This window comes from Homo sapiens, chromosome 1 (genome assembly GCF_000001405.40).
Source record: "Homo sapiens chromosome 1, GRCh38.p14 Primary Assembly".
NCBI classification, from domain to species: domain Eukaryota; kingdom Metazoa; phylum Chordata; class Mammalia; order Primates; family Hominidae; genus Homo; species Homo sapiens.
The window spans coordinates 19,788,175-19,807,547 of record NC_000001.11 but is presented as its reverse complement, the minus strand read 5'-3'; the positions used below and the strand labels follow the sequence as shown (position 1 = coordinate 19,807,547).

Sequence of the window (19,373 nt, the reverse complement as noted above, 5' to 3'; positions counted from 1 at the left end):
GCTGGGTCTATGGGAATACACCACCACACCCAACTAATTTTTTTGATTTTTTTTTTTTTTAGTAAGGTCTTGCTGTGTTGTCCGGGTTGGTCTTGAGCTCCTGGGCTGAAGGGATCCTCCCGCCTCAGTCTCTCAAAATGCTGGGATTACAGGCATGAGCTACTGCACTGGCCTGTTCTATTTTTTGACTTAGGTGGTAGTTATACAGGTGGGTGTTTACTGTATAATTACTTGTAAACAGTGCTTACATCCTCTGTGTGCTTTTTCTGTACATACATCATAGCTTTTAAAAAGTAACACCGAATATAATAATACTATAGGGTCTAAGAGCTTGGTCTGAGACTCTGGTGTCTGGTTCAATCTTTTTTTTTTTTTTTTTAAGACAGAGTCTCACTCTGTCACCAGGCTGGAGTATAGTGGCATGATCTCAGCTCACTGCAACCTCCACCTCCCAGATTCAAGCAATTCTTCTGCCCCAGCCTCCCGAGTAGCTGGGACTACAGTTGCACGCTACCAATCCCAGCTAATTTTTGTATTTTTAGTAGAGACGGGGTTTCACCATGTTGGCCAGGATGGTCTCGATATCTTGACCTCGTGATCCGCCCACCTTGGCCTCCCAAAGTGCTGAGCCACCGCTCCTGGCCTGGTTCAATCTTATGCTGAGATGCCTGCTCTGTCCACACTTGCTGCGCTGAGGGTTTCAGAGCTTTGTGAATTGCCCTGGAGAGAAAGCCTTCATCTGGCTCTGTTGGTCACTACTTCCTCCAGCATTGCCCTGCAGTAAGTTCATTCTCTACACTGCAACCAGAAAGGGGCCTTCAGAAAAGAACAAATTTCAGCCTTGCTTAAAACTGGTGGTTCCTCCTTGCCTTCAAGGTAAATTACACCCTCCTTAGCAAGGCTTCCAGCACCTGGCTTCTCCTTAATACTGGGCCTGATTTCTCCCTGCTTGCCCCCAGCATTCCTTAATAAAGTCCTGCTGGCCAGACACGATGGCTCACACCTGTAATCCCAACACTTTGGGAGGCTGAGATGGGAACATCACTTGAGTCCAGAAGTTTGAGACCAGACTTGGCAAACCTAGTGAGACTCTGTCTCTACAAAAAAATATAAAAATTAGCTGGTGTGCTGGTGCGCACCTGTAGTCCCAGCTGCTCAGGAGGCTGAGGCAGGAGGATCATTTGAGCCCAGGAGGTAGAGGCTGCAGTGAGCCATGATTGTGCCACTGCACTCCACCCTGGGCAACAGAGGAAGACCCTGTCTCAATAAATAAATAAATAATACTGAATGCGATGTGGTGTCTTAGACTGGATTCTGGAACAGTAAAAGGACATTAATGGAAAACTGATAAATTCCATACTTTAGTTAACAGTAAGTACCAATACCCAATACCAGTTTGTTTGTCTTGACAAATGTACCATATGTTTACGTAAGATGCTAACACTGGGGAAAAACAGGGTGAAAGGTATATGGTTCTTAGATAAGAACTCTGTAGCTCTCTTTGCAGTCAATCTAAAATCCTTCCAAAATAAAAAGTTTACTAAATAAATAAACAACATAATTAAATCCAAACTCAATATTTTAGATAGCTGTGAGGCTGTCTAAAGCTAGGCTTTGAGCTGAGGCCTATTTTCCTTCATTAAAAGGGAATGATTAGCAAATGTTAGAGGAGTTTTAAAGATTCAATAGCATCAAACAATCCCAACAGAACAAGGATTGAAGGGAATTGCTTTCTTACTGTGCGATTCAAGGTGATTTAATGCAGGTTCATGTACCAGCTAGAGGCACCTCATGTACCACCAGTGATATGGGTCTCACACATTAGAAAATATCAGACCAGGGGCAAGTGCAAAGCATTCTTAGATAAGAAGCAGGTAGAAGTCATGACCCAAGCCTCTGTGTAAGAGATATGGCAGGAGACTATGAAATTATTACCTAACACATGAAAACAGTGAGGGGTGGCCGGGTGCGGTGGCTCACACCTGTAATCCCAGCACTTTGGGAGGCCAAGGTGAGCAGATCATTTGAGGTCAGGAGTTCGAGACCAGCCTGGCCAACATGGCAAAAATCCGCCTCTACTAAAAATACAAAAGTGAGCCGAGCGTGGTGGCGTGTGCCTATAATCTCAGCTACTCAGGAGGCTGAGGCAGAAGAATCAGTTGAACCCAGGAGGCAGAGATTGCAGTGAGCCAAGATGGAGCCACTGCACTCCAGCCTGGGTGAAAAACTGAGACTTCGTCTCAAAAAAAGAAAAAAGAAAACAGTGAGGGGAATTATTAACCCAAATGGCTTTGACTCCAAATCCCCAAGACTTAGCTCTGCCGATTCCAGTTGATGGTCCAATTAACATAAAGTTATTCAGTTCTTTGGGTCAAAGATGGCTTGGAAACACAAACAAGAGATTGCTCAGCAATGTCACATCCATGGTAACCACACATCGTCCGAAGTTACCTCCACCCTGGCCTTCCTCTAAGGGAGTGTCCAATCCCTCCCCAGGGGAGCTCAGATTATTTCTGAGTGTTGTAAGGAAATAAGTGACCATAAATAGCCTTCTGGCTCATTCAGTCTCAAGTTCAGCACAACAGCATCACAGGGATCCTCTGTGGGAAAGAATATGGGCTGCCCTCAGTGAAATCATCCCTAGAATTCAGTTCCACTCAACAAACACCCAGGCCGGGCCAGCCCTCACGTCAGTCCTAGGAGGAGAGACATCAACGGGACATAGCAAAGGAGGCTTCTCCCATTGAGGGTCCATTATCCGCAACTCATCTAAATATCTTTAATTTGTATTGATATTTAGGCGTAAATATCAAGGGCAGGATAGCAGAATCAGCCAGACCCGGGTTCAAATCCTGACTCTGCCACCTTGTAGCTCGGTGATCCTGGCCAAGTTATTCCTCTCTGAGCCTCAGTTCCTTCTTCTGAGAAATAGGGCTAATGATCATATATACTGCATAGGGTTGAAGGATAGAAGGTATATATGGAAGGCACATGGAGCCAGCAATAAGGACAGTGCTCCCTAAGCAGTATTCATGGTGATTTCTAGAATTTCCAGGAAAATTAAAAGCCAATAATTTAGTTGTTCCAAACCTGACTGATCATCAGAATCACCAGAGGAGCATGTTAAAAATACAAATTCCTAGGCTCCCACATCCCTGAGAAATTCTGAACGGGGTAGGGCCAAGGGAGGACTCAGTAACCTCTGTTTCCATTATGCGCTCTTGTGCCTAGCCATAGTAGGAGCTCAACAAATACAGACCTCTTTCCGGCCTGGACTATTGCAATAGCTTCCTAATCAGCTTCCTCTGTCCACTCTTGTCTCTCTGCCCTCCACACAGCAGCCAATGGGATCTTTTTAAAAGGTGAGGTCATGTCAATTCACTGCCCCCAACCCTCTACAACTGTCCATCCACACCCCTAACTGAGTAGACAAGGCCCTACATCAGTGGCTCCTGGAACTGCTCACACATTTGAAATACCTGTGAGCCACTAGCAAAGACATGGAATCAACCTAAATGCCCATCAATGACAGATTGGATAAAGAAAATGTGTTACATATATACCATGAAATACTATGCAGTCATAAAAAAGAATGAGATCACTTCTTCTGCAGGAATATGGATGTAGCTGGAGGCTATTATCCTTAGCAAACTAATGCAGGAAAAGAAAACCAAATACCTCGTGTTCTCACTTATAAGTGGGAGCTAAATGATGAGAACTCATGAACGCAGAAAAGGGAACAATAGATGCTGGGACCTATTTGAGGGTGGAGGTTGGGAGGAAGGAGAGGAACAGAAAAAACAACTATTGGGTACTAGGCTTAATACCTGGGTGATGAAATAATCTGTACAACAGACCCCCTGTGACACAAGTTTACCTATATAACAAACCTGCACATGTACCCTAAACCTAAAACCTTTTTTTAAAGTTTTTTAAAAATTAAAAAAAAGTTTTTTTTGAGTCAGAGTCTTGCTTTGTCGCCCAGGCTAGAGTGCAGCAGTACCATCACAGCTCACTGCAACCTCCGCCTCTCAGGTTCAGGAGAGTCTCCTGCCTCAGTCTTCCCAATAGCTGGGGCTACAGGCACCCGCCACCACACCTGGCTATTTTTTTTTTTTTTTTTTTTGTATTTTTGGTAGAGACGGGGTTTTGCCATGTTGGCCAGGCTGTTCTTGAACTCTTGACCTCAGGTGATCCGCCTACCTTAGCCTCCCAAAGTGTTGGGATTACTGGCGTGAGCCACCACTCCTGGGCAGGTTTTTTGTTGTTGTTGTTTTTTGTTTAAAAGAAAAGAAAAGAAAAGAAAAGAAATACCTGTGGGCTTCTGAACAACACCTATGCCTGGCCAGATCCCAGACCAATGGAATCAGAATCTCTGAGAGTGGGGCCCAAATAGGGTTACCAGATAAAATACAGGACACCCAGCTATACTTAAATTTCAGATACACAATAAGTAATTGTTTAATATAAGTATATCCTGTGCAGTATTGGGACATACTCATATTAAACAATTATCCATTGTCTATCTGAAATTGAAATAAAACAGAGTCCTCTATTTTCATTTGCTAAATCTGGCAACCCTAGCCTAAGCATCAGCAAATATATATATATATATATATATATATGTATTTTTTTAAATTTCGAGACAGTTTCCCTCTGTTGCCCAGGCTAAAGTCCAGTGGTGCAAACACGGCTCACTGCAACCTCCGCCCTCCACGAAGCTGGGACTACAGGCTTGCCCTACTATGCCCAGCTAATTTTTGGATTTTTAGTAGAGACGGGGTTTCACCATGTTGCCCAGGCTGGTCTCAAACTCCTGGGCTAAAGTGACTTACCCGTCTTGGCCTCCCAAAGTCCTGGGATTACAGGCGGGAGCCGCTGCACCCAGCCCTCATCAGCATTTCTTAAAAGCTCACAGTGATACGACCCCCACTACCTGTCTGATCTCATCTCATCCAGGACTCTCCCCCAGCACTCTCCACTCTCCTCTCACACCGTTTTCTTATAAGGGCCAACCACACTCCCACCTCAAGACCTTTGCAATTGCTGGGTCTACCTTGGATGCTGTGCCCTGTAACCTGATAGCCTCCTCAAAGATCGCCTGCAGCGGTTCCCTGACTGCTTCATCTTCTATAGCGTGACCTCCCTGCTTTACTTTTTCTGTAAAACAGATTAAAATCAGTTTGTTTGCCAGGTGCGGTGGCCCACGCCTGTGATCCCAGCACTTTGAGAGGTTCAAGAGTTCAAGACCAGCCTGGCCAACATGGTGAAACCCCATCTCTACTAAAAATACAAAAAAATTAGCCAGGCATGGTGGTGCGCACCTGTAGACCCAGCTACTCAGGAGGCTGAGGCGTGAGAATCGCTTGAACCCAGGTGGTGGAGGTTGCAGTGAGCTGAGATTGTGCCATTGCACTCCAGCCTAGGCGACACAGCAAGGCTCCGTCTCAATAAAAAATAAAATATAATAATAAAGTAAAATAAAATCAGTTGGTTTCTTGTCCATCTCCCTCCACCCATCCCCCAAACCAGAATGTAAGCTCCATGATTTTGCTGGAAACACTTTGATTCTCCTGCTATACCCTCAACATCTAGAACCCCACCAGCCACTCCACACATCCTGGTTGAATTAGTCAATGGTTCATTAGAAGGCTTCCCCTTCCACAACTCCCTAAACATTCCTTTGGGGGAGAGTTACTTAGAGGAAACAAAATTCTTCAATGTCCAATACCAAACCTAACAAAATCTCAAAAGCATACACCAAAAGGGGTAAACATATTTTCTCCATCTTTCCCACCCATAGCCTCAATGATGGGATCAGGAACTGTGTGCAGTGGGGGCGACTAGGGTGAGGGTTGGGTGCCGGGCAATGGCTGAACAGGGTCCAATACCCAAAGACAAGTGTGTTCAACACAAGGTCTCTAATCAAATTAGAGACAGGGCAAAGCAGGGGAGTGCAGAGTGGTGCCTGGTCCCACAAAGCTGATCTGCTGGAAGGGGCTGCCAGACATTAAGAGGAGGGCTGGCTGCAGTTCTCAATCTTGACAAAGCTCACATGCTCAGATATAACCCCTTATTCCCCTAAAGCCTGCACACGATTGACCCATTTGACCCTCACAATAACTTCATGGGTGGGTAGAGCTGCCCTTCTTGGTCCTGATTGGCCAGTGGGGAGATGAGCAGATGAAGGAAGGAACATTTCACAGGTGCGTGAGTCCCAGGCTCTGAGCTGGGATGCTGGTCTCTGACCCCCGTCGGTACCTTTTCCTCCCATAACCCTAGATTGTCTTCACTGGGAGTAAGGGCAACAGCTTCTGAGGCCACGATGATTCATGCCCTAGCTCTGGCACTCATTAGCTCTGTGGCTTCTGCATTGTCTGGACCTGAGCCTCGGTTTCCTCTCCTTCAGAGTGGGTGTGATGAAATTTCACAGGGTTGCTAGGGGAAAGAGATCCATTCATTAAGTGCTTCTTTTGAGCACCTGCAAGTGCTAGGCACAGTCCCTGGGGCTGGGCACACAGCGGAGAGCAAGGCAGCCTAAACCCGCCCACCTCCAGGGCTTTTAAAGTCTAGTTGGGGCTGCGCGGTGGCTCACGCCTGTAATCCCAGCACTTTGGGAGGCCGAGGCGGGTGGGTCACCAGAGGTCAGGAGTTCGAGACCAGCCTGGCCAACATAGCAAAACCCCGTCTCTACTAAAAATACAAAAATTAGCCGGGTGTGGTAGCACACGCCTGTAGTACCAGCTACCAGGGAGCCTGAGGCAGGAGAATCGCTTAAATCCGGGAGGCGGAGGTTGCAGTGAGCTGAGATCGGGCCAGTGCACTCCAGCCTGGGTGACAGAGCGAGACTCTTATCTCAAAAAAAAAAAAAAAAAAAAAAAAAGAACTGTACCTGGCGCGTAGTAGGTGCTCGGTAAATTTGTTCAATGACTGAATGTGCTGGGTGCTCAGGGAAGACTCTCAGATCCCATCCCAAGAGACCAGAATGGAAAGCAGGAAATGGATTGGGGGAAAGGGAGGTCTGAAGGCAGAGAGTCCCAGGCACGGGAGCCTCCAGGCAGAGGCCCTGAGACAGGACCAAACTTAGCGTTAGGGAAAATGAAAGTAGAATCAGGAAGAACTTAGATATCTGAACACTTTGCAAACTACAAAGTGCTGCATACACGTGCGGGAAGGCGGTTTCTGCGGCTGGTTCTTTGTTTACATTATACATTTTTGAAGACTTTGTCTTCAAAATGTGGCTTTGGGGCATGCCACTCTCGGGGCCGAGTCCTTCGCGGGCAGTTTCTGCAAAGTCCAACCCTGCAGGGCCCTTCTCCCGCGCCGCGCTGTCTCGCTGCTTCCTGGAGGGTAAATGGACCCACACACAGATGTGGCGCCGCGGGCTTGCCGGTCACCTGCAGAGGCCGGCACCCCTGTCGCGATGGGTGGTGGAGGTGGGGCAGAGGTGGGACGAGCCAGGTCGGGACCCGCAGCTGGCGAGTCAGAGCCTGGAAGGCCCCGCGCCCCCGCGCCGCGCTCCCTAAGTGCTCCGCCCGGCCGGTGGCGACCAGGCGCGCTCGGGGCAGGCGGCGGGACGGGCCGGGACCGGGGCCGGGACGCGGCGGGGAGGGGAGGGGCCGGGCCGGGCCGGGCGGGAGGAGCCGCTCGCCGGTTTTGCCGCCTCCGCCTTTGCCTTCGCAGCCGCCTCCAGGTAAGGGGGCCCCGGAGGAGCCGCCAGGCCACGGTGGCGCGCACCTCGCTGGGCCACTCCCCGCCGGCCCCACGCGGGGCACTCGGAGCCCGGCCCAGCCCCGGGGCCCTTTGCCCTGCGCCCCGCCCTCCACCCCGGGGACACTGGACCCACCAGGAAGCGGCCGCGCGCTCCCTGGCGCTGCCTGCCCTAAGCCCAGGCCGCCTGCTGGTGGTTGGTTTGTTTTCAGAGCCGGAAGTGCTTTTAGAAATCTTGGGGAGGCAGAGGGGGAAACTGAGGCTGGGCGGAGCACTCGGGCGACTCCGGCCTCGGCCTCCGAGTTCTTAGAGGTCACCCAGCCGCTCCCTTGACAAATGAGGACGCTGGTCAAGGTCAGAGAGGAAGGGGGCTTGCCCAAGGTCACAAGAGGTCCCTGTGCTTCCCCTTGCCCCACGTGGCCCCTCCACGCCCCCGTCAGGAAGGCCTCTAGGACTCCCCCGCCTCCTGTCTCCCTGTCCCCCCGCAGACTCTCAAACAGAGAATTCCAGGAGGGCTTGGGGAGCCTCTGGAGAAAAACCAGGCTCCTCATGTTACAAGGAGGCCATGTCTTCTGGTGCCCATGCCTGAAGTTACAGGAGGGAAGAATTACTGCTGCTGACTTTTGAGTGGATTTTACAGCTGGGTAAACTGAGGCTCAGAGAGGTGAGGTAACTTCCCCAAGACCACACAGCTAGGAAGCAAGAGATAAAAACCTGGGCTACCTGCCTGGAGAGCCTGACCCAGTGCTTCGCACAGAGTTGGCCTCCACAATGCCTTTGCCCTGACCAGGCTGCCTGGCCCTTCCCTGGGGTTGCACTGGGAATTAGGAGCAGGGCCAGGCTAGAATCCCAGACTACTACCTAACTCGAAGTAGGAGTCAGCACATGAGCCCCCTTTTTCCTAACTCAGTGTTCATTGCAGAAAATATGACACTCTTTTAAGCTTTGGGAACATCCATTTGTTCATTCACCAAATATTTGTTGAGCACCTACTGTGTGCATTGTTTAGGCAACGAGGATACAGCAGTGAACAAAAAGGAGCGCTGCCCTCAGGAAGTACACTCCAGAGGGTGGAATAAAGCCCTGCCCTTCAGCCTGGGGAGGGAGGGCTGGGCACAGGGGAGACCACTGGCATTTCCCCAACTGTGAAGTACATGAAGACAGCAGAAGAGATCGGTATTAGAGTGGCCTCAAGCCCTCGTGTGCAGCATCAGACAGAGATGGGCTCAGGTGCTAGCTTTGCAGCTTTGTAACTGAGTGGGATCAGGCAAGTTAAATGACCTGTCTCCAAGGTTGTTGTGAAAATTAAAGGAGCTGAAGCCACAAAAGGCCCAGTGCAGTATCTGACACTTTGGGAGACTTTATACTTTTTAGTCCTAAGGCCCAAGGAGGAGTTGGACAGGAGGAGTTCATCGATTAGGTTGTCATAGCTCAGCATGTAGCTCCCACAAAAGCTGGGGTCTGGAGAGTTCCTCATAAGGCTCAAACCATCTCTCTCTACTCTGGTACCACTGGGCTACAAAGGCTGATCAGCCACCAGGGCTGGCTAACGTGGGACCTAAGAAATGTCAGTGGGTGGTTTCTCATTGTGTTCTCTTTTGGCCTGTGTGTTTTGTAAACAGTGTTGTACATTATAAACCGGGGCTGCTGATGAGGAGTGGGGAACTGGCTCTCTGGAACGTGTGACAGCAGGCAGAAGGGGTGAGAGTGAAATCCAATCCACTTTCCATTTAGCCGACCTCCGCTTCAAGCTGCCCTGATATCATGGTACCACCCTCTGCCTAAAACCCCGCTCTGGCTTCCCATTTTCTTCTTTCTCCTTTTCTTTTCTTTTCTTTTCTTTTCTTTTCTTTTCTTTTCTTTTCTTTTCTTTTCTTTTCTCTCTCTTTCTCTCTCTTTCTCTCTCTCTCCCTCCCTCCCTCCCTCTCTCCCTCCCTCTCTCTCTCTCTTTCTTTCTTCTCTCTTTTTTTTTTTTTGACAGAGTCTCACTCTGTCACCCAGGCTGGAGTGCAGTGATGCAATTTCAGCTCACTGCAACCTCCGCCTCCCAGGTTCAAGCGGTTCTCCTGCCTCAGGCTTCCAAGTAGCTGGAACTACAGGCGCCCACCATCATGCCCGGCTGATTTTTGTATTTTAGTAGAGATGGGGTTTCACCATATTGGGCTGGTCTTGAACTCCTGACCTCGTGATCTGCCCGCCTCAGCCTCCCAAAGTACTGGGATTACAGGCGTGAGCCACCGCGCCTGGCCTTGGCTTCCCACTTTCTTAAGGAAAAGAGAAAAAACCTTTTACATGGACCAGAAGGCTATGTACCACTGTCCCCTGGCCTACACCTCCAGCCGCATCTCAGACCACTTATCAACAGCCCTCTGTGCCCAGGCATGCCACCCCTCCCTCCTTGGGACCTTTGCACCTGCTCTTCCAGGCCACTTCTACCCCCTGCCTCCCTTTTCCCAGGTAACATCTTCTCATTCTTCACATTTTAGCCCTAGCCAGACTTGTACTCCAAATGCCCAGGCCACAAGACTTCTACTGGTATGTCAGAGGTTAAGTTCAGGGTGGAATTATACTCTCATTGCTGGGATTAATTCCTGCCTGTACCCTGTACACCACCCTGACTGTAACCCCTGTGACATCCAGGACCAGGGCCAAGTTTGCTTAGTAGGTGCTCAATAATGATGTCCACCTATAGGGAGGCCCTCTTGAGCATATTGGGGACCTCACTTTATATAAAATGATATTGTCCTTCAAAAAAATCTGCTGAAGTCATTTTTCAGTTGTGGGTTGTTTCATTCAGCACACAGGGATTGAACCCCTGCTCTGCCAGGTGCTGTCCTAGGATGTATCAGGGATTGTGACCCAAAAGCCACTGCCTTTCTGAGCTTCCTCTAGTGAGGGAGATAGACCATAAATAAACCTATAATACATTGTCAGGTGGTGGTAAATTTGATAAAGAAAAATCACAGGCCAGGCGTGGTGGCTCACACCTGTAATCCCAGCATTTTGGGAGGCCAAGGAGGGCAGATTACGAGGTCAAGAGATTGAGACCATCCTGGCCAACATGGTGAAACCCTGTCTCTACTAAAAATGCAAAAATTAGCTGGGCATGGTGGCATGCACCTGTAGTCCCAGCTACTCAGGAAGCTGAGGCAGGAGAATCGCTTGAATCCGGGAGGTGGAGGTTGCAGTGAGCCGAGATCGAGCTACTGCACTCCAGCCTGGCAACAGAGCAAGACTCCATCTCAAAAAAATAAAATAAAAAAAATAAAAATCACAAAGGGTTGGGTTAGAGGCGGGAGTGGAGGGGCCAGCTGTCTTACACTGGTATGAATAACGAAAATATTAATTGCGAATCCCTGGTGCCCTGGGCTTCATCCACTCTCACCCTGACCCTCCTGGTCAGGGAGACAGACACATTAGCAACCGGCCATTATGTCCAAGGAGAGGTGGAGGGGCCCAGACGAAGTCTTTGGAGCTTCAGAGTTGGCAGGCCCCACATTCGCTGGACAAATCCAGGGAGGTGCGTGGCAACCCCTGACCCCCCACCTTAGTAAAGTGGAGAAGGACTTGGGGTTTGAGGTCACACAGGCCTGGAAGGAGCATCCTAGGACTTGCCAGCTGTGTGACCTCCGCTTCTGTGAGTCTCAGTTTTCTCATCTGTAAAGTGGGGACAGCGATTGTCTCTTCTTCATAAGGTTGTTGGGAAGCTGAAGTGGGATCATGGAAGTAGGCCCCAGAAAATCTAAGCTGATTTTATTATTTAACTGTGCTTTTGGAAAGGGCACTATTTGGACAGGGGGACCCAGACGGAGAGAACAGCCTGAGCTGAGGCCCGAGGTGGTATCCCAGCGTGGGCTGGAAGCAGGGGAGTGCAGTTTAGCTGAGGATGAGCTGGAAGCAGGGAGTGAAAGAAAACAAAGCAGGAAAGGCAGGTTAGGCCCGTCCACAGGTGCCTGGGGCTCAGAAGTGGGATGTGAGCCTGTGGATAGATGGGAGCTGGTCAGATTCATCCAATTTGCTGGTTTTCAAATTGTGTTGGAAATCTTTGGCCAGGGTGTAAACCACACCAGAGAGGTAGAACAGCATCATTGTGAAGATGGCTGCCCGTGGCCTAAGACCCAGGCACAAGTTGAAATACCACATGACTCGTCCAGTGACCTTGACCTTCAATTCTCAGGGCCTCTCTGTCCCCATCTGTGGAAGGGTGATAATAGCACCCACCTTGTAGGATTATTGAGAGAAAATGAGATGATATGTAGAAAGAGGTGACACGTGGCTAACATTTGCCAAGCATTTACTATTGTGATTTTTAAATGTTTAAATTTTTTTTAAATTTTTAATTTATTTTTTATTTATTTACTTTTTGAGACAGAGTTTTGCTCTTGTCACCCAGGCTGGAGTGCAATGGCGCAATCTCGGCTCACTGCAACCTCCGCCTCCTGGATTCAAGTGATTCTCCTGCCTCAGCCTCCTGAGTAGCTGGGACTACAGGTGCTCGCCACCACGCCCAGCTAATTTTTGTGTATTTTTAGTAGAGACGGGGTTTCACCATGTTGTCCAGGTAGTCTCGAACTCCTGACCTCAGGTGATCCACCCACCTCAGCCTCCCAGAGTGCTGGGATTGCAGGCGTGAGCCACTGTGTCCGGCCCCTATTTTTTTTTTTAAGGTAAAAATGGCGATAAAATACACATACCATGAAATTTACCATCGTAATCATTTTAAGTGTGTAGTTCAGTAATGTCAAGTATATTCACATCGTTGTGCAACAAATCTCTAGAACTTTCCAACTAGCAGATCTGAAACTCCACACCCATTAAACAACCACTTCCCTCCCCTGTTCCTCCTCCCCGCAGCCCCTGGCCACCACCATTCATTCTACTTTCTGTCTCTATGAATTTGACTACTCCTCATACCTTACTTAAGTGGAATTGTACAGCATTTTATCTTTTTGTGACTGGCTTATTTCACAACTTTTCAAGGTTCATTCGTGTTGTAACGTGTCAGAATTTCCTTCCTTTTTCAAGACTGAATAATGTTCCACTGTGTGTATATATCATATTTTGTTGATCTATTCATCTGTAGATGGGCATTTGGGTTGCTTCCAACTCTCGGCTATGGTGAATAATTCTGTAAACATGGGTGTACAAATATGTTTTTGAGACCCAGCTTTCAATTATTTTGCATATATACCCAGAAGTGGCGTTGCTGGAACATGTGCTGTTATAATTTGAAGGTGGGGTATTGAGGGGTCCCCCCTGTGTTTCATCTTGCCCGTCACTCTGGGGCTCTGGGGGGCAGTTTGAAAACCAGTGGGTCAAATGGACTATTACAAACTTTGCCATTTCTGCCACTTCCTTCTCAGGCACATTTGTCGCTGTAATTATTTTTTAATTATCCCAAGTGGAAACCACCACTCAGTCAACAAATGTTGCTGAGTTCCCACTGTGCTTAACTGTGAGCAGAGGGAGATCGAAGATAAGCGATCAATATAAACAAGTAACTGATACAGAATTGGGAGGCTGGTGTTTGTGTGCTGTGGACAAAGTGGAGCAGCTGGGTTAAGGGGCTAGGATGGGCAGTGGGTAGGGTGGCTGCACTGAAGTGTGAGATTTGAGCACAGACAGAAGGAGGTGAGGGAGTTGGCTGTGTCCTTATCTGGGGGATAAGCATTCCCAGCCGTGGGAACGGCCAATGCAAAGTCTGTGTGAGGTGGGAGCATGCCTGGTGGGGTCCAGGAGCTGCAGGGAGGAGGGTGTGGCTAGAGCAGCATGGGAGAGGCGGCAGGGGTGGGGGGCAGAGAGGCAATTCAGGCCAGATTGCAGCGGCCCCATCATCATTGTAAGGACCTTGACTTTGAGAAGGGAGTCTTGGAGGGTTTGGAGCAGAGGAAGGGCATGGCCTGACTCTGAGATGGCACTCTCTGGGTGCTGTGCTTGAACAGCTGGGTTGAGGGCAGAAAAAAAGCAGATATGTGGAGAGGCGTGACCCAGTAAGAGGTGACAGTGGTTAATAGCAGGCAGGAGAAGGAAGAGAGCAGTGGTAAATGTAGGCACACATCACAGGGCCTGGGTATCCACCCCAATGGCACTGTCACCCCACCCTCCTGCCCCTCCTCCAGACTGCTGAAGCGAGGGTGGGAGGGGAGCTTTCCTTCCATGCCAGCATCTCTGTTTTCTTCTCGTCTGCAGTGTGATTATCCAAAACCCTCTGGGTTCTTCTACGTTGGAACTGTTGTCATGGAGACCTCCTGAGATGCCTCACTGACCTCTCGCTTCCAATATGACTTCAGATAGAGATGTAGAATCAATGGGTGTCTCTTCTAAATGGCTGCAGAGGGTGCTGACCTGGGCCTGCCTAGACTCTGCCCTTCTAGGAGCATCTCAAGATTGTCTTATTTTGGGTGTGGTATGTGTGTGTATTGTAACCTTCAACTATGATCTTTGGCATTTCTGGCCTAAGGATGGTGCTATAGCTTTATGTGTTGTGAATGATTTCTTAGCCAAATGCTTTTCTTTCTCCTTGGCCCCAGAATAATTAGTCTTCAGCCTTCCCATGACGCTGTAGCCATCTCCCTATTAATGCTTATTTTATTGCACTGCAGAATCATTTAAAAACTCAACTGCAATCAGAAAAAGGAGAGAGAGAGAAAGCCTGGTGGGGTCCAGGAGCTGCAAGGAGGAGGGTATGGCTGGAGCAGCATGGGAGAGGCGGCACACTAATATAGTCACTTACCTACACTCATATAGTCACATCAAATTTGACACTGAGGCCAGGCGTGGTGGCTCACGTCTGTAATCCTAAAACTTTGGGAGGCTGAGGTGACAGGATCACTTGAGCCAGGTGTTCAAGACCAGCCTGGCCAACGTGGTGAAACCCTGTCTCTACTAAAGATACAAAACTTGGCCAGGCATCATGGTGTGCACCTGTAATCCTAGCTACTTGGGTGGCTGAGACAGGAGAATTGCTTGAACCCAGGAAGTGGAGGTTGCAGTGAGCCCAGATTGCGCCACTGCACTCCAGCTTGGGAAACAGAACAAGACTTTGTCTGAAAAAAAAAAAAAAAAAAAAAAATTGACCTTGACCTTCACTGACTGCTCCAAGGGGGAAAAGAAAGGCCATAGCTGGCTGGCATGTAAAGAAAAAACAAAAGTTCATTCTTGCATGTGATCTTCTAAAGGCCCACATCATGGAATTTTAAGGACAATTTAAAGGATTTTCAAAGATGGTATTGACCATATTTGATTTTCTCCTTGGTGCTAACTTTAGAATTTTTCAACTCTCCAAGAAGAAATCCAATGGTATTGTTTATGGCATCAGTCAACAAATATTCAGAGTGCCTACTGTGGGTACTTGTGGAGCTGAGGTCAGATATTTATGGAATGTCTCTCTGCCCCAACTACTGACAAAAATGACCCAGTCAGCATTTTCTTTGGTGACGGATGATGTGACTGGCTAGACAAAAGTCATAATCATAGCATATCAAAACAAGGTCCCATTCCAGAAGGACCTCTGTCCATCCCAGGTCTGGGCTGTGCAGCCGAGCTGTAGGCATGGGTTTGCCCTGTTATTCTCACTCTATATCTATATTGTTTCCCTGGAGATCGCATCCTCTTCTAGGTTAAGTATGGGTCTTTCTTGGAGTTCCTTGGTGTATTAGTCCATTTTCATGCTGCTGATGAAGACGTACCCGAGACTGGGTAATTTATAAAGAAAAAGATGTTTAATGGACGCATAGTTCCGTGTGATTGGGGAGGCCTCACAATCATGGCGGAAGGTGAAAGGCACGTCTTACATGATGGCAGACGAGAGAAGTGAGAACCGAGCGAAAAGTCATCAGATCTCCTGAGACTTATTCACTCTCACGAGAATAGCACAGGAAAGACTCACCCCCATGATTCAGTTACCTCCCACCAAGTCCCTCCCATGACATGTGGGAATTGTGGGAGCTATAATTCAAGGTGAGATTTGGGTGGGGACACAGCCAAACTATATCATTTGGTGTCTTCACAGTACCCGGGACAAGAACCTCAGGAGGCTACCGGGAGCTGGGAGCTCCTCCTTCCGTCAGTGACTCCTGAGCCCCAGGGCGCTGCTGGACCAGCCCTGTGTGTCTTAGGTGACCCCAGGGCACAGAGGTACTGCTGGTCCTGACAGAAGGGGCTTTTTCTCGTCGCAGGAATCCAGCACTCTCTTGGAATCAGTGTAACTTCTCAGACACACTTGAGATCCAGTTTTATTTTGGACTGGATCCTGATCCCAAATCAGATCAAGGGGTGGAGGCCCCCAAGAACCAGTATACACAGCAGGTGACGCATTCCCACACCACAGCTGCCCCCATGCTTGTGCAGCTGGAAGAGTTTGGGGTCCCAGCCTGTCCAGTTAGACAATCCATAGAGTTGGAACCATGGGCTCCCCCATTCCAGCATCATGGAGAGCTGAGAAGCTGAGAATTGCACTGTCTGTCCCACCAACCCTTGCTATTTTCTTTTCCTTTTTTTTTTTAATTTTAATTTTAATTTTAATTTTAAGTTCTGGGATACATGTACAGGATGTACAGTTTTGTTACATAGGTAAACATGTGCCATGATGGTTTGCTGCACTTAGCAGCCCATCACCTAGGTATTGAGCCAAGCATGCATTAGCTGTTTTTCCTAATGCTCTCTCTCCTCGCATCCCACCCGCTGACAGGCCCCAGTGTGTGTTCTCCTTCCTGTGTCCATGTGTGCTCATTGTTCAGCTCCCACTTATAAGTGAGAACATGTGGTGTTTGGTTTTCTGTTACTGAATTAGTTTGCTGAGGATAATGGCTCCCAGCTCCATCCATATCCCTGCAAAGGATATGATCTCATTCCTTTTTATGGCTGCATAGCATTCCATGGTGTATATGTACCACATTTTCTTTATCCAATCTATCATCAATGGGCATTTGGGCTGATTCCATGTCTTTGCTATTGTGAATAGTGCTGCAGTGAACATACACGTGCAGGTATCTTTGTAATAGAATGATTTACATTCCTTTGGGTATGTACCCAGTAGTGAGATTGCTGGGTCAAATGGTATTTCCGGTTCTAGATCTTTGAGGAATCGCCACACCGTCTTCGACAATGGTTGAACTAATTTACATTCCCACCAACAGTGTAAGAGTGTTCCTATTTCTCTGCAGCCTTGCCAGCTTCTGTTGTTTCCTGACTTTTTAATAATTGCCGTTCTGACTGGCATGAGATGGTATCTCATTGTGGTTTTGATTTGCATGTCTCTAATGATCAGTGATGTTGAGCTTTTTTTTTCATATGTTTCTTGGCAACATGAATATCTTTTGAGAAGTGTCTGTTCATGTACTTTGCCCACTTTTTAATGGGGTTGTTTGTTTTTTTCTTGTAAATTTGCTTAAGTTCCTTGATATTAGACATTTATCAGATGGATAGATTGCAAAAACTTTCTCCCACTCTGTAGGTTGCCTGTTCACTCTGATGATAGTTTCTTTTGCTGTGCAGAAGCTCTTTAGTTTAATCAGATCCCATTTGTCAGTTTTTGCTTTTGTTGCAATTGCTTTTGGTGATTTCGTCATAACATCTGTGCCTGTGCCTATGTGCTGAATGGTATTGCCTAGATGTTCTTCTAGGGTTTTTATAGTTTTAGGTTTTAAGTCTTTAATCCATCTTCAGTTAATTTTTGTATACGGTGTAAAGAAGGGGTCTAGTTTCAATTTTCTGCATACGGCTAGCCAGTTCTCCCAGCATCATTTACTAAATAGGGAATCTCTTTTTTTTTTTTTTTTTCTGAGGCAGAGTCTCACTCTGTTGTCACCCAGGCTGGAGTCCAGTGGCAGGATCTCAACTCACTGCAGCCTCGACCCCCAAGACTCAAGTGATTCTCCCACCTCACCCTCCCGAGTAGCTGGGACTGCAGGTACTCACCATCATGCCTGGCTAATTTTTGTATTTGTTGTAGAGATGGGGTTTTGCCATGTTGCCCAGGCTGGTCTCGAACTCCTGGGCTCAAGAGATCCACCTGCCTCGGCCTCCCAAAGTGCTGGGATTATAGGCATGAGCCACTGCACCCAGCCTCCTTTTCTTACTGACAAGACTTATTGGTCAAATGTATGGGACTTAACTGTGAACTCATCCCCACTGGCTTGGCTGGGCCACATGGGTCCAGGGCTTTCTGAGATAAAACACACTCCCCTTCTAAGGATCAAGAGGCAGAATTAGTTCTAATTAAAAGGGTTTTTTTCTACATTATAAAAGCACCAATAAGCTCATGACCGAAATGCTAAAAATATAGAAAAATAGAAAGAACAGAAACCAATCACCTCTAGTCCCTTAGCCCCACCAACCAAGAGACAATGATCATAAACATTTTGATGTATTTCCTTCTGATCTTTTTGCTCTGTGAAAGATGTTTTGTTATTTATTTATTTATTTATTTGAGGCAGAGTCTCACTGTGTCGCCCAGGCTGGAGTACAGTGCATTCAAGAGCATACTTGGCTCACTGCATTCTCTGCCTCCTGGGCTCTAGCAATTCTCCTGCCTCAGCCTCCTGAATAGCTGGGGTTACAGGCATGCACCAGCACAACCAGCTAATTTTCGTATTTTTAGTAGAGATGGGGTTTCGCCATGTTGGCCAGGCTGGTCTCGAGCTTCTCAACTCAGGTGAACTGCCTGCCTCAGCCTCCCAAAGTGCTGGGATTACAGGCGTGAGCCACTACACCTGGCTGAAACATGGTTGTTGTTTTTTTTAATTTAATTTTTTTTTTTTTGTGAGACAGAGTCTCACTCTGTCGCCCAGGCTGGAGTGCAGTGATGCGATCTCGGCTCACTGCAAGCTCCGCCTCCCGGGTTCACGCCATTCTCCTGCCTCAGCCTCCTGAGTAGCTGGGACTACAGGCGCGTGCCAGCACACCTGGCTAATTTGTTGTATTTTTAGTAGAGACGGGGTTTCACCATGTTAGCCAGGATGGTCTTGATCTCCTGACCTCCTGATCCACCTGCCTCGGCCTCCCAAAATGCTGGAATTACAGGCATGAGCTACCACACCCAGCCGAAACATGTTTTAAAAACATAACTAGAGTCATATTGTATATGCAGTCGAATTCTGTTCTACTACCTCTCTAGAACAAAATTATCCCTGATTTGTAGCATTTGCTAATTTCTGTGATGTAAATATTCCCAACATGCCAATCTCGGGCTGCCAGTGTCACTGGACACAGGGTTGGAAGGAGAAGCACAAAACGGATTGTCACCAGTGCAGCATGTTGTAATTTTAAATTATTTTTTTTCTGATCTCAAAATCGACACTTATTGTTAATAATTCATAAAACACAGATATATAAAAAAATTAAAATCATCCAGAATCCAATCCCGGTCCCTGCCTACCTGGAGTTAGCCACTGCCAGCATCCTGGTGCGTGTCCTAACAGTACCCTCTCTATGGATAGAGACCTACACAAAATAACTTTCTAGAGAGTTCAAAAGCGATACAAATTTGTGGCAGAAAATTTGGGGGAAATACAGAAAAGTCTCTGATATCTGTAAATGGCAATTCAGAGATAATTTTGGAGGCTGTTCTTCCAGTCATTTTTCTCCTCTCCATTGCTTTAACACGATTGGACTCATGGTGTGAATATTCAGTTTTTAGGCACAGTACAGGTACATTCTCATGC

General features: G+C 47.8%; 1 protein-coding gene across 16 annotated transcripts in view, besides 5 other annotated features; it reads left to right on the top strand.

The window, feature by feature from the left end:
- Positions 6,964 to 7,464: an enhancer, noted in NCBI's record as "H3K27ac hESC enhancer chr1:20126577-20127077 (GRCh37/hg19 assembly coordinates)". NCBI's record gives its function as "activates a minimal SCP1, AML or CMV promoter by ChIP-STARR-seq in primed H9 embryonic stem cells {active_cell/tissue: H9 hESC(primed)}" and the evidence as "EXISTENCE:reporter gene assay evidence [ECO:0000049][PMID:30033119]".
- Positions 6,964 to 7,887: a biological region, named in NCBI's record as "H3K27ac hESC enhancer GRCh37_chr1:20126577-20127077".
- Positions 7,388 to 7,887: a silencer, noted in NCBI's record as "silent region_361". NCBI's record gives its function as "represses an Ori minimal core promoter by ATAC-STARR-seq in GM12878 lymphoblastoid cells {active_cell/tissue: GM12878}" and the evidence as "EXISTENCE:reporter gene assay evidence [ECO:0000049][PMID:35858748]".
- The window catches only part of TMCO4 (transmembrane and coiled-coil domains 4), a 117,677-nt gene continuing 105,935 nt past the window's right edge, over positions 7,632 to 19,373 (top strand). For 2 of the 16 annotated variants that reach the window (XM_047416936.1, NM_001349115.1), the window contains exons 1-2: positions 8,199 to 8,374; positions 9,333 to 9,411. Coding sequence is in view for 8 of the 16 variants with exons in the window: in XM_011541179.3 (XP_011539481.1) it covers positions 13,991 to 14,116 (126 nt within the window). In the remaining 8 variants the exon portion in view is untranslated. Of the gene's footprint in view, positions 8,065 to 8,198; positions 8,375 to 9,332; positions 9,478 to 13,899; positions 14,117 to 19,373 lie in introns of those variants that run through there. The other 14 variants (NM_001349112.3, XM_011541185.4, XM_011541179.3 and 11 more) reach the window with 13 other exon arrangements.
- Positions 13,813 to 13,892: an enhancer, noted in NCBI's record as "active region_307". NCBI's record gives its function as "activates an Ori minimal core promoter by ATAC-STARR-seq in GM12878 lymphoblastoid cells {active_cell/tissue: GM12878}" and the evidence as "EXISTENCE:reporter gene assay evidence [ECO:0000049][PMID:35858748]".
- Positions 13,953 to 14,112: an enhancer, noted in NCBI's record as "active region_306". NCBI's record gives its function as "activates an Ori minimal core promoter by ATAC-STARR-seq in GM12878 lymphoblastoid cells {active_cell/tissue: GM12878}" and the evidence as "EXISTENCE:reporter gene assay evidence [ECO:0000049][PMID:35858748]".